Genomic DNA, 19,226 nt, shown 5'->3' on the forward strand with positions numbered 1-19,226 from the left:
GTCTCACTCTGTCGCCCAAGATAAACTGCATTGGTACAATCTCAGCTCACTGCAACTTCCACCTCTCGGGCTCAAGCAGTTCTCATGCTTCAGCCTCCCGAGTAGCTGGGGATTACAGGTGTGCACCACCACGTCTGGCTAATTTTTTTTTTTTTTTTGAGATGGAGTTTCACTCTTTCGCCCAGGCTGGAGTGAAGTGGCATGATCTCGGCTCACTCCAACCTCCATTCCCTGGGTTCAAGCAATTCTTGTGCCTCAGCCTCCCGAGTAGCTGGGATTATAGGCGCCCGCCACCACACCTGGCTAATTTTTGTATTTTTAGTAGAGACGGGGTTTTGCCATGTTGGCCAGGCTGGTCTTGAACTCCTAACCTCAAGAGATCCACCTACCTCGGCCTCCCAAAGTGCTAGGATTACAGGCGTGAGCCACCATGCCCAACCAATTTTTGTATTTTTAGTAGAGACTGGGTTTCTCCGTGTTGGCCAGGCTGGTCTTGAACTCCTGGCCTCAAGTGATCTGCCCGCCTCAGCCTCCCAAAGTACTGGGATTACAGGTGTGAGCCGCCATGCCCAACTGTATGACTTCTATTAAAAAAAATTCTTCCTTGACTCTACTTCTTTTCCTAGCTACTATCCCATTTCCCTCTTCCCCTTCACAGCCAGTTAAAAATTGTCTGCATAGTCTTCTTCCTCACATCATATACCCCATGAATCTTCTCCAGTTGGCTTTAGTCCCTAACTGACTATATTTTTCCCCTGTGGAGGTTTGAGAATCAAGCCCGTAGGTAACTCATACTGTAGCATCAGAGTCTATTATGTGAGAATACACAAGGAAACCAAGGCTCAGAGAGATTCAGTGATTCGCCTAAGGTTATACAGCTAGTAAATAGCTAAATTGGGATACAATCCAGGTGCATCTAATCCAAAGGGCCCGTGCGCCAGCATTGTTATTATTAATCGGGCCCCTTTTGTGCTTTGTATATCTGCTGTAGGGATTATCACATTTAGTTGTAATTTTTTTGTCGGCATTTTTCTTTCCCCCACTGAATTACTATTTCAAGGACAAGAACAAAGCCTAGAACAAATAGTAGGTGTTCAATAAATGCTTTTCGAGTAAATGAAGGAACACTTCTCTGAGAGCTTATTTGTTCTTTTTTTGCATCTCAGCAGCAATGGATCACTGCTGGTCACCACCTTCCCTTCAATATAATCATAGAATCATGCAATTTTAGAGCTGCACAGGGGCCTTAGGAAATTAAGATCCATAGAGGTGAAGTAACATGCCCAAGGTCACTTGGCTAGTTAGTTGCAGTCCAGTGCTCTTCCCTTGCCATCTTCGGTAGGTGTTAATGCTCCCTCTTTCCACATTCTCTTTTCCGACCTAAATAACTCTGGTGCCAAGCAGCATGTAGACAGCAGAAAGTCGGTAGAAGGACACGTCGTGAATATGATGAGCAGCGAGTGCAGTGCTTTTAGTGTTAATGAACACTTTCATCCTTGGTTCAAGCCACGTGCCTGCTAGCTTCTTTGGTTCCAGTTTAAAATACCCCTTTTCATGAGCTGCTGTTTTATATTCCTCTTAGTGCTTTGGTTATTTTAATGAGTTTTTCTTATCTCCTATTTATAAAACCAGACCTACTTTGCAATGTTTTGTTGTTGTGTTTTCTTTTGAATAACTTCCATTCCCAAGTCTTCTTCCATTTCCATTGCTCTTTCTCTTTTATACTTTTTGTGTTTGTGTGTATAGAGTTATGTGGTGCATTTTTAAATGCAAGCTTGGTTGCTAATACAGTGTTGGAGCAATCAGTTCTTCTATAGGCAAGAATCAGCTAACTGGAACCCTCAACTAACCACAACCGATGGCTGAAGTTGTGCAAGTAGTACAAGCTCTGAAATCAGAGACAGTTGGATTTCAAAAAAATACGTATAATCACCTTTATTAATGTTGGAAATACATTTAAATAAAAGTTCTATACCCATTGCTAATAAACCTCTGTCTTAGCCACCTTAGGCTGTTATAAGAATATATCGTAGACTGGGTGGCTTAAACAACAGACAGTAATTGTCTCACAGTTCTGGAGGCTGAAAGTCTGAAATCAAGGTGCAACATGGTCAGGTTCTGGTGGGGGTCCTTTTCTTGGTTTGCAGATGGCTGACTTCTCACCGTATGCTCACATGGCCTTTCTTTAGTGTGTGTTCATGAAGAGAGAGCTCTCCTTTCCTCTTCTTATAAGGACATTAATCCATTGTGAGGCCTCCACTCTCATGGACTGATCTAAACCTTATTACCTCCCAAAGGCTCTACCTCCAAATACCATCACATTGGAGGGTAGAGTTACAGCATGTGAATTTTGAGGTGACACAGACATTCAGTCCATAACAACCTCTTACTATATAGGGGTAGTTCCTTATCTTTCTCTTTTTTATTTATTTAGACAGAGCATCTCTCTGTCACTCAGCCTGGAGTGTAGTGGTGTGATCTCGACTCACTTAGCCTCCGCCTCCTGGGTTCAAACGATTCTCCCACCTCAGCCTCCCAAGTAGCTGGGATTACTGGAGCATGCCACCATGCCCAGCTAATTTTTGTATTTTTAGTAGAGATGGGGTTTTGCCATGTTGGCTAGGCTGGTCTCAGGTGATCCAACCGCCTCGGCCTCCCAAAGTGTTGGGATTACAAGCATGAGCCACTGCACCCCGCCAATTTTTATTTATTTTTAAAAATAGAGATAGCGGTCTCACTATGTTGACCAGGCTGGTTTCAAACTCCTGGGCTCAAGTGATCTGCCCGCCTTAAGCTCCCAAAATGCTGGGATTGCAGGTGTGAGCCACTGTGCCCGACCACTTCAGTTCTCTTTTTACCTCTAACTAAAAGTAAATAAAAGTGGCTGGGCATGGTGGCTCATACCTGTAATCCACAGCACTTTGGGAGGCTGAGGTGGACAGATTGCTTGAGTCTGGGAGTTCAAGACCAGCCTGGGCAACATAGTGAGACCCCATCTCTACCAAACATACAAAAATTAGCCAGGTGTGGTGGCACACACCTGTAGCCCCAGCTACTTGGGAGGCTGAGTTGGGAGGATCACTTGCGTCCAGGAGGTGGAGGCTGCAGTGAGCCAAGGTTGCACCACTGCACTCCAGCCTGGGTGCCAGAGCCAGACCCTGTCTCAAAATAAAATAAAAGTAAAAAGAATTCATCTGTATTTTTAATTTAATTAACAATAAAAAGGGTTGGTTTGTATCTTTTTTATGGAGTCTTATTTTTCACCTTAAATTTTAACTACTTTCATCACCTTGTCGATATGTCTTCTCATTTAATTCCATTTTGATAACTTTTTAAAATAAATGTGGAAATTTATTTTAAAATCTATAAAAAATATATCTTTTTTTTTGGTAAATTCACCACCTAAGTCTTTAAGCATAGTTTTGATCATAACACTACCCTGAAAGAAATCCTTGAACAGCTCCCTGTTTCCAGTAAATCAGACAGGCTCACTTCTAGCTCTGGAGCAACAAAGGGAGGCCTACATAGCCCACCTGAACATTTAAAAACTAGAAACTGAATGAAGCACTACAGGTATGCCTTTCATGAGGGCCTAGAATGCCAGGTTCAAATTCAGAATTCTCAGACGCCTCAGAGTTCCATCATGGAATATGAAAACCCGGGGGAGAGCTGTTTCTGACCCACAATCCACCCCCTTCTCTTTCTATCCCCTGCCCATTCTCACATTTGGAGGGTTTTTGTACACACAAGAGTGGAAGTTCAGACCTGTCCACACCTCCCCTGAGCAGCCATACTCAAATAGTCACGCCTGGGCTACCCTGCGGGTTCAGAGATGCCCACGTCGGCTGTCTATATTCAGGAGGTTAGGTTGATAATAGGTGCTGGAAAGCCCTAAAAGCGGGTTCCAGACTGCTTGGCCAGGAAGTTCTGGGAGCTTCGATAGTTGGATTTAAATCCTGGCTTTACCACTTATTAACCGCATGACCTTAGGCAGATTGCTTAACCTGACTGTACACATTTCCTCATCTTTAGAATGAGAGTATTAATAGTAGATAAAAAGATTAACAGTAGATAAAAAGATTACATGAAGTAATACTATGTAGGCCTAGGTTTAAAATTCTCATCCTGCCACATACTGGTTATAGAATGATCTCAGTAAAGATCTCAATTTCTTGGAGACTTAGGCTTCTTCTTTGTAAAATGGGCATTGTTCTCAGCATTTGCTGCATAACATGCCACCTTAAAACTTAGTGGTTTAAAATAGCAACTATTTATTTGCTCATAATTCTGTGAGTGGGTAGTTGGGGTGGACTAGGCTGGAACTGTCTGTTCCATTTATGTCAGCCTCATTTACTCATCAATTTATGTCAACTGGTAGTCCCTGGCCTCACTCATGTGTCTGGTGGTTGACTGGTGATTGGCAGGGGTCATGGAAGTAACTGGGCCATGTGTCATTTGTAATCCAGTGGCCTGGCCTGGGCTCATTCACCTGGTGGTAGTTGCAGGGTTACAGAGAGCGTCAGGCCCAATGTGCAAGCACTTTTCAATTCTCTGCTTGCTCATATTTGCTGTTATCCCATTGGCGAAAGCAAGTCATATGGCCCAGCCCAGAGTAGATGTGGGAAGGGATTACCAAAAGGCATGGATGTCAGGAAGGTAGTTATTGCAGCCATTTCTTTTTCCAGTTAGTTTATCACACACTTGATAATAACTCTTTTCCAGGATCATTGTGAGAATTGGAGATAGTGCACATTAAGCACTGAGAGAAGTAACCCATATAGTAGATCCTTGGCGAATGACAGCTAAAGCATATTATATTGTACCTGACATACAGTAAGTGTTAAGAAAAGTTCTCTTCCCTAACCATTCATTCCGCCTACTCTCCTTTCCTCATTACTTGACTATTAGAAGAAAACTGTAACTCAAAAAAAAAAAAAAACCAAAAAGCTAAAAAGCCAGAAAATCGCAAACAAAAACAAAACTAAAATAAAACAAAAAACAGGAAAACAAGCAAATGAATCCACATTTGTGATTTTTTTTTAAAGTTTATACATTAAACAAACATCCACTGCAAAACACCAAGTAAAATAATCCCCAGATGAAAACTAACAGGATGTTGAGAATCAGCATTCTTTATGATTGCAGTTTCTTCATCTTTCCATAGAGTCTAATGACCCTGAGGTTATACAGGATGCTGGGTCTCCAAAGAAAAATTCCATTATAGTGACCAAGGCAGTGAAGAGGACACAGATATTCAGCAAAGAATTGCCACACCCAGGAGTTTAACCAATACAGGATTTGTGGTTAACTCTGTTTTCTAAACAATGGAATTCATTGAAATCCTCAATCTTTGAGTTTGAAGGGACTTCAGAGGCCTTCGACATTTAGACCCTCTATTCCTCTTCAGCAGTAGTTCTCAAACTTTTTGATCTCAGGGCCACTTAACACTCTTCAAAAGTATTGGGGAGCCCAGAGTGCTTTTGTTTCTCTGGCTTATATCTGTCAATAGTTACCATATGAAAAAGTTATCCTGAGAAAAATTAAAAACAAAAGAATATATGAGCATACATTCTGTTATCTATCAGAGTAGTGAGTCGTCATACATCATATAGCTTCTGGAAAACTCCACTGTATATTCACCAGAAAATGAGAGTGAAAAAAGCAAATAATGTCTTAGTATTGTAAAAAGAAAAAAAGTAGTTCTGACTTTATTAAACACCTGAAAGAGTTTTGGGGACTTCAAGGGGTCTGTGGACCACACTTTGCAAATTGCTGCTGTAGAGTCTCCCTGTCAGAAAGGAGTTGCCCTTCGGAATCATTTGGAGGCAGTGATAAAGTTCTGTCTCGGACTTGTGAGGTTAATTTCCTCATCTATAAAATAAGGATGATAATAATAAGATTTACCTCATATAGTTGTGATGATTAAATAAAATAAGGTAATGTGCCTAACCCATATTAAGGGCCCTATACAAAATCTACCATTCAGCAGGCTGCCAGTAAACATTGGTCCTCTCATCACTGAAATAAATAACCTAATAGTTCCATGCCTCACAAGGCAGCTTATTTGGGCTTTGAGTTTTAGAAATTTTCTCCTCCTGCCTCTGCGTAACTTCTGCCCCTTAGCTTTAGTGCTTATTCTTCTGTTCAGAAGAAGGTAACACCCTTTGAGTTTTAGATAAAACTGCGGGTCTGTTACGTCTTCTTTCTTATAAGTTATGCAATGGTTTCCAAATTATTCTGATCATTTCTTTCTTTGGTTGCAGGCACTCATTCAACAAATATTTACTGAGCACCTAAATACTATGTACCAGTATGAAAAAAAATAGACAATATCCTTGCCCTTTGGGAACTTACATTCTGAATGTAGGAGACAGACCAAAAGCAAATACTCAAATAAAACAATAACAGATGTGAGAGAACCTACAGTGGAAAATGAAGCAAGGCAATGAGAGAAAAAGTGATGGAGGTTGGTGCTATTTGAGGCAGAATGATCACATAAATGCCTCTCTGAGGAGGTGACGTGTGAGTAGAGACCTTTGTAAACTAAGGGAGCAAGCCATACTAAGGGAAAAGTGAGTGCAAAATTTGAATTCTATTCTAATTGTGCTTGCAATCCTTTAGAAGGTTTAGGTGGGATAATGATGTGCTATAAATTGTGTTTTGAAAAGATCACTCTTGCCATTTTGTGGAGAATAGACTAGGGGACAAGAATAGAAGTGGGGAGAACAGTTAAGCAGCTCTTGAAATAGTCCAGACAAGAGATGGTGGTGCCTTGGAGGTGGTGAGAAGCTAGATTGGGATAGAAGGCAGATCCAACAGGATTTACAGATGGATTAATGTGTTATGTAAGGAATCAGGAGGAAGCAGGGATGATACCCTGGGTTTTGGACTGAACATGGGAAGTGTTCAGGAGGGACAGGATGAAGAGTTCTGTTTAGGATATATGTTAAATTTAAGGTTCTGGTTCGATACCCATATAGAAATGGGGAGTGAACAATCTGGAGCTCAGGCTGGGTGCGGTGGCTCATGCCTGTAATCCCAGCACTTTGGGAGGCTGAGGTGGGTGGATCACCTGAGGTCAGGAGTTCAAGACCAGCCTGGCCAACATGGTGAAACCTCCTCTCTACTGAAAAATGTACAAAATTTAGCCGAGTGTGGTGGCACATGCCTCTAATCCCAGCTACGCAGGAGGCTGAGCACGAGAATTGCTTGAATTCGGGAGGCAGAGGTTGCAGTAAACCAAGATCACACCACTGCACTCCAGCCTTGGCGAGAGAGAGAGACTCTGCCTCAAAAAAAAATAATAAAATAAAATAAAAATAAATAAATAAATAAATAAATAAAATCTGGAGCTCAGGGGACAGTCAGGGCTGGAGGTTGCCATTTGGGAGTCCTTAGTAGATAACATTCAACAATTGAGCCCTGGAGCACTCCATTGGTTAGAGGTTGAGAAGATGAGGACAACCCAGCAAGAGACACTGAGAAAAAGTGACTGAGAGGTAGCAGAAAAAACAGGAAACTATGTGGTCAGAGAAGCCAAGATATGTTTCAAAATGAAGCCATAATTAAGTAAGCCAAATATTGCTGAGAAGATTAATAAAATGCGAAGTTAGAGTTTGCCTTTGGATTTGGCATGATGGAGGTTGTTGGCAACCTTGATAAGAGTGCTGTCAGCACAGAGGCAAAAACAAGCCTGTTTTGAGTGGGTTGAGGAGAGAATGAGAAGTCAAACAATGGAGAGAGCACTACAGACACCTATTTTGAAGAGTTTTGATATAAAGAGGAGAAAAGAAATTGTGAGGAAACTGGAGGTGGATATGTGGTCAAGGAAGTTTCTTTTGTTTGTTTAAGAAGGGAGGTTTTGTAGCATGTTTATATGCGATGGGAATCACCCATCAGCACACTGATAGAAAGAAAAATTGGTGACACCAGAGAGAGAGGGGTTAATTGCTAGAACAAAATGCTTGAATAGCTGAGAGTGGAAAGGATCCTGTGCATAGGTGGAAGGAGTGGTCTTAGATGGGAAAGGGAAGGTTCTTCCTTAGTAACAGGGGAGAAGGCAGGGTATGTGAGCAGAGATGCAGGTAAGTTGGTAGACTTGTTGGTCTGAAGATGAGGTGGGTTTCTTTCGATTGTTTCTTTTTTTTTTCCCCCAGTGGAATAAGAAGTGAGGTCATCAGCTGAGAATTATAAAGGGGATTTATATTATTTGAGGTTTCATGAGGGAGTTGTGTGAGGGAGAAAGACAGTGACTTGACTAGGAAAATTTAGTATTGTCAGTCATTGTTGAAGGCCCACTTAAGAGATTTCTGGTCAAATATTTGAAGTGGGACCATTCTACTTTGTAGGTAGAGTTATTCTTATTTAGGGATAAGTTCAGTATGATTGAAGGAGGGAGGTACAAAGACACTTCTTCTGTTTGCAGATTTATATGAGGCAGTGGATATAATATTGGACCATAGAATTTAAGCCGGGTTGTGAAGAATGTGAAGACATGAAAGGACAGACGAACCAAGAGGGTAGTAGGTTCCATGGATTGTGGGTTGAGATTATATGGGAGACAGGGAGATCTGACATTGACACTATAGAGGTGATGCATTTATTGCTGATGACATCCAGAATATGACCATAGAGTGTGTCTGAGCTAGGATGCTGGGGAACAAAAGGTTAGAAGTGACTTCAAGAAATAGTAGGGCAAGGGGCTTGGCTATATCCTCAAGTGGATATGGAAGTCACACGGGGAAGTGTTTGGGTAAAAAGACTGAGCCAAGCGCTGTTATTTCCAATGAACGAATGAATGAGATGAAGTAACTGGGAGGTTGGTGGAGAGCAGCCATTAAGAGGGGCAGCAATTGGCATAGACTGATGTGCATTTTACGTGGGCTGGAGTGTTAGATGAAGGAGAAACAGTCTGCAAGTGGCAAAGAGGAAGAAGAGGCCACTCTTCTACATCTTGTCCTTTAAGTAACATGAAGGGTGTGGGAAAGAAACACCAACCATCTGAAAGGGCTACATGGAAGCAGGAACCTCAGGGAAGAGTCAGGCTTCCTTTAGGATAAGAAACTGAACAAAATGTTGAGGATATAGACATATTTGCTGATAATGGGCTTTGAGCTTCAGAGGGCATGTTAGGCAGGCTTCGGGGTTCATTGAAAATAGGCTATTGTGTCAGATTGGGGACTAAATGAAGCCTTAAGAGGTTAGGAATTCAGGTAATGATGCAGGCTGGGAGGCTGGGATTTTGTGGAGGTGGCTGGGGTAAACAGGCATGTAAGATATGTCTGGATTAGTCCTGTTGGGCTCTTAGGGTGAAGTGGATGAAAAGTGCTAATTAGAGCCTCCTTCTGGGGTTGATCTCTTGGTCACTATGATGAAGCTGACAGAGAGGATCAGCTAGGGGAGGGGAACTTGCACCAGGAACACCTAAAACTTCCTGGCCTCCCCTAAAATTTTCTGTGGTCTTCTTCAAGCCTGGAGTAAGGAACTTATTAGGACATTTCAACAACAATAGGGCTTTAACTTATGCCCTCCAACTCTGCATTAGTCCCTACCAAAGCTACTTCAAATATATACGAGATGTGATCTAAGTGAAAAATGTGTCCTTGCTATGTAAATAATTTCAGGACAAGTCCTCTAGTTGCCCCAACCACCTTTCAACTAGATTGCTTCACTGAGGCCCCTCTCTTTTATCATTTATTATGAAAAATTCTAAGCATATGTAAAAATAGATTTTGCATAATGAGCTCCCATATACCCCATCACCTAGATTTAACAGTTGTTAACATCTTGCCATACTTGCTTCATCTATTTTTTCCTTTTGCTGAAATATCTTCGGGGAAATTGCAGACATTATGACATCTCATTCCTAAATACCTCAGTATCCTAATTCCTCTCTATAGAGAAATTCTGAAGCTGCCACTGCCTTTCAGAATGTGATGCCCAGGACTGGACAGTAGTGTTCCAGACATGGACTGACCAGCCAAGTTCACAGAAAGAATGACTAGACCCTATGTTTGTGAAAGCAGATTACAATCTCTAAAATTAGTCATTTTAGAACCCACAGCACACTATTGACTCAAGTGCACTTGTGGTCAGCTAAATTTCCCAAGTTCTTTGCACATGAACTGCTGCCGTCAAGTCAGGCTTCCCCCATCTTGTATTTGTGTAATTGAATTTTTGTTGGTTTTAGCCTATTGAAAATATTTTGAATTAGAAGTCTGCCCTCCGGTGAATTAGTTAATCTTTTTTCGCTTTGGTTCATCAGCAAAGTTGATAAGTAAACCTTTTATATATTCATGCAAGTATATAGTAGCTACTTTCTAAATTGATACTTATGCTGCCTCAAGATTGTGGAGACTGCAGTATGATCATTTCAAGCGTTAAAAGTGGACTGTAGGAGAAATTATTTAAGTTGAATGTTCCTGTTAATGATTGGAATCCATCCTTCTTGACTCTTCAGACCTTGTGACCTAACAGGCTGGTATCTGAGTACAGTTTTCTAAGACATTCTAAATCATTCTAGAATGAGTATTTAATACAAGCAATCACCCAACAGTTTCTTAGTACAGCCTTGGAAATTATTCATAACAGCTAAATGCAGGGGTTGGATTGGTTTTCTGAGAACTCCATGGGTTAGCTTGAGTGGTTCCTCAGTTGACTGTTTTTACAATTACACAGGGATCACTTTTTAAAACTAAACTGTGAGAGTGAGAGTGAGCTGAATGGACACCCCCTGGCTCTGCTCATACTTAGAAAATGGGACCGTGCCAGGAGCGTATCAACTCCTAGACAAGTGATATTTTTGTAAAATTTCAAACTGGATATATAATATGACTCAGCGGGAGGCATAATCATGATAATAATATACAAGGCTTAAAATAGGAAATCAGTATTATGGAACTCCACATTCCTCAATATTGTTCCTAATTCTTAGGTATTTCAGAATGAGAGCTCTCTGACATTAGCCTTCATGGGGAGACACCATAGCACAGAAGTTAAGTCTAGGTCTAAAGCCTGTCTCTACCATTTATTGACTGTGGGACTTGAATTATTTTTTAACCTCTGTGAAGAGTAATTTCCTCATCTGTCAATGATGAGGATAACACTATCACCACCATCATTTAGCAGTCGCAAGGATTAATTGTATTAATGTAAGCAAGGTGTCAAGCATTTAGTAAGTGTTATCTACTATTATTTATTATAGTTCTGTCAGTACTCCCTGGGACCCAATATATTAGATACCCTTTGGTGTCATATTCATGAAGTTTTTAATCTAGATTTAAATATATCTAGTCTGGGAATGCTCTAGGCTGCCATGTAGCCTTCTGCATTTCCTTATCCTCATTTCCACTGTAGTGCCTCCAAAAGCCTGGTAAGAACAATTTAAAGAGACATGAACAGGTCGGGCGCGGTGGCTCATGCCTGTAATCACAGCGCTTTGGGAGGTTGAGGTGGGAGAAACACTTGAGCCCAGGAGTTTGAGAACAGCCTGGGTAGCATAGTGAGATCCTGTTTCTACACAAAATCAAAAATTAGCTGGGTGTGGCGGCGCACTCCTGTAAGTCCCAGCTACTCCAGATGTTGAGTTGGGAAGACTGCTTGAGCCCAGGAGGTGGAGGTTGCAATGAGCTGAGATCGCGCCACTGCACTCTAGCCTGGGTCACAGACAGAGTGGATCCTGTCTCAGTGCTTACGCACCTCCTTTGAGCAAGCCGAGGTAGTTCTGGCCTGTTGTTTGCTTTTTCTAAGTCTTAACATTAGCTCCCATGGTGGCTGACAATAACACCAACTTTCCAGGGGAAGAAGAAATTTAGGAAATTCTGTTTTTCTTTGTATATGAATCTATAGATGCCTTGCTTTTAGCATCCCACTAATCACATAGGTGACAATAGTGATTTCCCCTGTATGTCTGCTTAAGGAATCTATAGATGCCTTGCTTTTAGCATCCCACTAATCACGTAGGTGACAATAGTGATTTCCCCTGTATGTCTGCTTAAGTGGTTAGAAAAGTTCTTAAAAACACAGATGAAAACTGACATCAGTAACTTTGATAGGTATTAGCTGGAGAAAGAATTGACACTTGCCCTTTTCTTGTTGTTGTGATGTTCCTTTCCATTGATTACGTGTGAGGAGTAACTATTCTCTTAGCCAACCGGAGTGTATGTCTGGTACTTTTCATTACTAAGCTTTCTACTGTTGTTTTCCTGGAAAAGGTATTCATTTTAGAACACTTTATTTTTAGATAATTTTAGACTAATTGTAAAAATAGTACAGATTATTTCTGCATACTCTTCATCCAGCTTACATCTTACATAACCATAGTACAATTATCAAAAGAAAACAACATTGGTATAATACTATCAACTAATGCACAGGATTTATTAATATTTTACCAGCTTTTCTACTAATGTCCTTTCTCTGTTTCAGAATCTAATTCAAGGCCTCACATTGCAGTTAGTTGTCATTCTCCTTCAACTAGTGACAGTTCTTCAGTCTTTCCTTGTCTTTTGAGACCTCACCACTTTTAAAGAGTACTGGCCAGTTTTTGTAGAACATCCCTCCATTAGGGCTTTTCCAATGCCTTCCCATGATTAGATTGCAGTTATGCATTATTGGGAAGGATAGCACAGTGGTGATATGCTTTTTTCTGTGCATCTATCAAGGGATTTATGATGTCGCTATGTATTACGGTTGATGATAACCTTGATTACTTGGTTAAGGTGATGTCTGTCAAAATTCTTCTACTGTAAACATACTATTTTTACTTTCTAATTGCTAAATATTTTGGTGGAGATACCTAGAAATTATGGAAATTCCCTCCTATGAATATTAGCATCAGTTGATCTTGCTTGCAGCAATTATTACTGTGATGTTGTAATGGTGATTCTCTACGTCCCTCTTTCCTTCTACATTTATTAATTGGAATTCTTCTGTAAGGAGGAGTTGTCGCCACTCCCCACTTACTTATTTTTTCACCTATTTATTCTGATCAGCATTTACCAATGGACATTTATTTTATTCTTTGGGTTATACTCCTAGATTATCTTTAGTTTATTGGTCAAATTGTTCTGACTTCGGCCGTTGGAATTTCTTTCAGGTTGGCTCCTGCGCCCTTTCAACAAGCCCTCTCATCTTTTCTTTTTTATGACACCCTTGTTTTCCTCACCACAAGATGTGCCAGGCCCACTGTCTATCTTCCCTTCAAAACCATCATCTATGCCTTACAGTGTGTTTGCTATTGGGATATCACTGCTTCTAGTCCCTCTTGGTGCATATAGCTAGGAAATATATGTATGTACTAACTTATGCATACACACACCTATGTTTATTTCTGTATCTGTCTGAATTACATTAAGAAAAAAACTCATGAGTCCATATTGATACCTACAATTCCAACCCAGCACCGAAAGATTCATGTTAGCCTTGCTCCTTTCCTTGTTTAAACCTTTTTACTTGAGAAACCTGGTTCTCATTATCTACAAATATATATAAATATAAATATATATATATATACATATATATACTAGATTTTCAACTCCAGTATACTGATAAAGTAGTTTCAGAATCCCTAAGCCATATACCCTTATGAGAAACAAATTTATGAACTAGAGTAGTGTTTGTGTATAGTTTTTTGTCCTTAGCCCTATAATATTTCATCCAAACCCTGTTTTCCAAAGTTACTTAGGTCAGTTTCTTTCTTCCCCATACCCTTCATCATGTGACTAATTTGTAATACAGCTAGATTCATTTGTCACAGTTTGTAGTCTATCCTCTTTCCCCCAAAATCTTGGTTGCAGTTTAAAAAATTTACATGCATTAAAACCCACTTATGATGTTATAGTTCTATGGGTTTTGATAAATATATGTAGTGTGTGTCCACCAATACCATACAGGACACCATCAACTCCCCAAATCCCTCATACTGCCCCATTAGAGTCCAACTTTTCCCCCCACCCTTCACCTATATTCCATTCATATGGTTTAAGTAGTAGGATGTACCATAGTTTAATTATTAACTTGCTGAAAGGCCTGTGAATTGGTTCACCTTCTTGTCTATTATGAATAAAGCGCTTTAAGCATTCATTTATAGGTTTTTGTGAGAATATAAGTTTTCGTTTCTCAGAGTTAGATACCTACTGGTGCCACGAGTAAGTTTTAAAAAGTATTTATTCAAATATCCAGAAAAGTAAAGGAAAAACATGTATTTAGAAATATTGGGCTGGGCATGGTGGCTCACGCCTGTAATCCCGGTACTTTGGGAGGCCGAGGCAGGCAGATTGCTTGAGGTCAGAGGTTTGAGATCAGCCTGGCCAACATGGTGAAACCCCGTCTCTAATAAAAATACAAAAATTAGCTGGGTGTGGTGGTGGGCACCTGTAATCCCAGCTACTCGGGAGGCTGAGGCAGGAGAATCGCTTGAACCTGGGAGGTGGAAGTTGCAGTGAGTCAAGATCATGCCACTGCATCCAGCCTGGGCAACAGAGCAAGACTCCGTCTCAAAAAACAAACGAACGAAAAAAACAAAGAAATATATTTCAGTACTACCACTATTAATCCTATATCATTTCAGTGTAGTTTCATAACTTTTTTTTAATTAAAGGAAGGCAAGGGGTTATCGGATTCAAACTGGAGTGTTTCGTAACTTTTAACTTCGTATCTCTATCACCATTTACTTTCAGAATCTTTTGATTTTGGTCAAACTGGGTACAATTCTGGGTTCTCCCAGAATTTCTGTCATGTAATCTTACCGGTGATCTAACATGATATATTCGAGCTTATTGTTACATGGATTAGGATAGGCTGTGGTTCACACCTTCCTTGAAGTAAGTGTATATGGGTACAACGTGGGTAGCCTTTAAGCCAGGTACTGGCCCGGTTTACTAGCCCGTAAAAAACATCACCTTTGTAATGATGAAGATGCCCTTTGTGCAGTCAGAATCAGCAATGACCTACCTGGTGTTAATTGAGGGATTGAGGGTCTTCCTGAAGAACCCCTGTCCTCATAGATCAAACCTGTCAGCTTGCTACAGAACCTGGAGTTGCTGTCATTGGCATCGCCCTACTGGGCCAAGGCTCTATCATTGTCTTCCGAAGGTTTCTGCTGAAAACACACATTTGTAAGCTGTGAGGGAAGACGTTAAGCACATTAGCTAGCTGTTACCTCAGTGAGATCGTGGCTCTGATCTCTGAGATCCCTCTCTACTGGTACCTTCTCTCAGTCATCAAACACTCATCTCCGTTTCACTAAATTGTGAACTCTTAGATTGAGGGCAGAGTTCATCCGTAATTCCAGTGCCCGTCACATACTAGGTAGTTTATATATATATTTCTTGCATGGATGAATAAATGCTTGATGGCTATGTGATTCTTGAGGATAGAGGGTGGGGTATAGATGGTAGGGACAGGCTTCTCATATGTGGCATAGCCAGGAAAAGGCAAGGCTAGGTGGAAGGGCATAGGAGGCTTCTGGGGTACTATAGAGCAGCAAGATGGTACAGGTCTGCGGTGGGAGCATTGTACAATTAAAAATGGGAACTAATTGAATGAAGCTTCAAAGTTCAAAGCTTTCGAGAAGCTGTGGATAAGGGAGTACGCTATGGAAACAGATAGAATAGGTTATACTCCCAGTGTAGCTACTTCCTATTGAAACGTGGCTTTTTTTCAAGTGGGCTGGGGACCAACTTGGAATGGGATGTTTGAGTAGAAGAATGACATGATCTAACTTATTTTAATAGGATCACTTTGGTTACAGTGTTGGGAGGAGAATGAGATGGGAGGGCTAGGACAGCACTGGGGCATTAATAAAGAGGTTATTACAGTAATCCAAGCTACGCATGAGTGTGGCTTGGACCAGGCTAAATGCATTGGAGGTGGTGATAAGTGGTCAGATTTAGCATATATAGTGAAGGTAGAACTGTCAGGATTTAATGATGGATAATACTAGATCTCTTTCCTCTACGCCTAACAAAAGAAAACAAAACACTTTGTGATGGCTATAAATTAGAAAATAGAAGTTGATGCTAGTGATTTAAACAGAGCTTATTTCCCAGTAAAGCAGAGCTTCCTTGATGTTGAGGCAACCTTGGGTTCAGTAAGCTTTCAAGTCCATGTTTTCCAGCCGCCTTCTATAAGGAGCTTCAGCAGAGTGGTATTTACATTACCTCTTTTCCTGTCGATGGAATCTGTAGCAAACAGAGCAGCATGTATAATTTTATCACACTTGAGAGCATTTCTGACCATGGATCTGTCACTCCTTACATAGGGAATAGAGTTTTTTTCAGGATGTACTTCTTTCAGGGAAAGCCTTTACCCAGTGAGGTAAATATGCTATGAAAACAACCTGATCAGATAAGGGTTCAAGGACCTCTCTCTATTCACCCATGTAAACATACTCAGCTTCATTTATTTTAAGTGCAGTTTTCTGGCCCCGATAAGAGAGGACAGCCTTGATTAACATAGCAATTGATATTCTATTCCCTGGATAAGATATTCATTGTTGAACTTCTTCTATTGGTTTTATAAGATGATTTTATAGGATTGTGTAACAGTTGCACTGAGAGGATATTTAGGAGTAGGGAAGCCTCTGAGCAAAGTATCCTTACGCTACTCCGCTACTCCGATGAGAAACTTCTTAATTCATTAGCACCTCTAAGAATAGCGCCTCACCCACTGCCCACTCTGACTTAACTAGGCATACAGGCAGGAAGGGGAGTGTTGGCAAGAGGACTTGAATCCCTCAGAAGATGTATAGTCTCATGATTGAATCTAACTGTGATTGAAAAACATAATCGACCTTCAACCCTGGGTCAGTGGTAGCATCTGAGAGCAATCTCTGGGACATCCGTGTCTGGGGAGGTCACCAGGCACAGTGGACAGATGCAAATGGCTTTGGGCAATTTGGTTAAAATCTCTCCTTTGCAGGGATGATATTTGATTCATTGGCCATTTCTTTGAGGCAAGTGACAAAGAAGTCATGATTTCTGTCAGCGTGCCTACCCACAGGGTAGTAGCCAGAGGCTGAAGCTGGCAGGCAAGAGGGTGCCTGTCAGTGAAATAGTTATATCTCAGTTTGAAAACTCAAGGGGAATTCCATTTTGATGGGCTCCTCTTTACACAGAAGTAAAATTTCCAGAAGTGGAAAAGTGTTGAAGATTTAAGTGATATTTCTGGATCTTTATGTCTTTTGTTGTGCTTCAGTGTATTCTGAAAATTATAACCAAAGGTTTTCTCTTCCATCATTATTCAAGTAGATTAGAATTCACAGTACATTCATAGGGCATATTACTAATTTCTGGAAAATCTGTTTTTACAGTGTAAATTTTATATATTTTACTGAGTGAATGTCTAATATATTCAGAGCCAGTTTATGAAGCAAATAAGAAAATCAGCCAGGCATGGTGGCTCACACCTGTAATCTCAGCACTTTGGGAGGCTGAGGCAGGAGAGTCACTTAAGGCCAGGAGTTCAAAACTAGCTTGGGCAACCCCTTCTCTACCAAAACAAACAAACAAACAAACAAACAAAAAACTAGCCAGGCTTGGTGGCATGCACCTGTAGTCCCAGTGATGCAGAACAGGCAAGTGCCAAAACTGGGGCTTAGCCCAGAGTTCTTGGCTTTTGCTCCTGAAAGAATTCAAGTGTGAGCCAGTGGTATTAGACAACAGTCTTTTATTGTTGTTCCGTGTTCTTTGTGGGCAGTGCACCCGGAGTCAGCAACTGTATTTGTACTCACTTATACCCACTTTCAATTACATGCAAATTAAGGGGCAGGTTAATGCAAATTGAGGGAGCGGGTTATTTATAACTTTCTAGGAAAGAGGTAGCAACTTTTGCTTTGTTGCCATGGAAAAGGCTGTAACTTCTGGTTTGTTGCCATGGCATTTGTAAACTGTCATGAGGCTGGTGGGAGTGTCTTATGTTAATGAACAATGAGGGCCGCTAGGGATCGTGTTTGTCGCCATCTGCTGGTTTCTTCTGGTTTTTCCACTTTATCCTGTCTGGATCACAACCTGTTTCGGTCAGCAAGGTTGTGACCAGAAAACAAGTTTGTCCAGCCTCCTACCTCACCAGCCACTAGGGAGGCTGAGTGGGGAGGATCACTTGAGCCCAGGAGTTCAAGGCTATGACCGCTTCACTGCACTCCAGCTTGGGTGACAAAGTGAGACTTTGTCTCAAAAAAAAAAAAAAAAGAAAAAAGAAAAGAAAGAAAATCAGTCTTGTGCCTTTATGCTTTCTTGATATATAGAGAATAAAACAATATGGTCCAGAAACAGGCAGTGAGAAACACAAGGCCTCTGGATGATAAAAATACTTTCATTCATTCTATGTTTAAGTATTTGTTGAGCATTTATTAAGTGCTAAAGATGTAAATATAAATGTGAGCAAAACATAAAAAATCCTGCCTTCTTTTTATGTTCCAATGTGTGTGTTGGGGTGGGGATGTGAAACAGACTATTAATAATAAATGAGGCAACCTAGAAGATGATTTTCATAAACAGAAAAATGCTATGGAGAAAGATGGGATTTCGTGACAGAGTGACTTGTTTGCTTGTGTGATGAAGACAGGCCAGAATCAACAAGGTAGTCAAGGAAGGCCTTTCTAAGAATAAGATATTTGAGTTGAGATTTAAACAAGAAAAAGGAGTGGAGGGTCAGGAGAAAGAACTTCAGACAGTGGGATTAGCAAATTCAGAGGCCCTAAAGTCAGAACCACCTTGGCTTGTTTGGGCAAGAGTAGTGATAGCTTGGTCAGTTAGGCTGTTTTTGCAGTGGTCTAGGCCTGTGACAATGATGGCTTGGACTAGAGTAGGAGAAATGGAAATGGAAAGAAGTGAATAAATGTATGATATATTTTGGATGTGGAGTTGACAAGACTTGCAGGTGGATTGGATATGGAAGGTAAGGGAGAAAGACTTAAAGAATAACTTCTAGGCTTTTGGATTTAGCAGCTGTGTGGGCAGTGGTGTGCCATTAGCTGAGATGAGGACTCGAAGAGAAATATGTTGGGGTGTGAGTGGAAATCAAAACCTGCTTTATACATGTTACGTTTGAGATGCTGATTAGACACACAGAAGTGTTGCCAAAAAGTCCTCAGGTCCTCTGTCACAGCAACTTTTCTTATTTTATGCACAGATTAAATGAACTTGGCTTTCTTTTTTTTTTTTTAAACCCACAAGATTAAAAGCTTGGCATCTCTTTCTCTCTTGCACATCAGATTCCATATATCA

At 40.8% G+C, this 19,226-nt stretch overlaps 1 annotated feature.

Moving 5' to 3' along the window:
• Window positions 17,106–17,606: an enhancer, noted in NCBI's record as "H3K27ac hESC enhancer chrX:103587712-103588212 (GRCh37/hg19 assembly coordinates)". NCBI's record gives its function as "activates a minimal SCP1, AML or CMV promoter by ChIP-STARR-seq in primed H9 embryonic stem cells {active_cell/tissue: H9 hESC(primed)}" and the evidence as "EXISTENCE:reporter gene assay evidence [ECO:0000049][PMID:30033119]".

The sequence above is a fragment of the Homo sapiens genome, chromosome X (genome assembly GCF_000001405.40).
Source record: "Homo sapiens chromosome X, GRCh38.p14 Primary Assembly".
NCBI classification, from domain to species: Eukaryota; Metazoa; Chordata; class Mammalia; order Primates; family Hominidae; genus Homo; species Homo sapiens.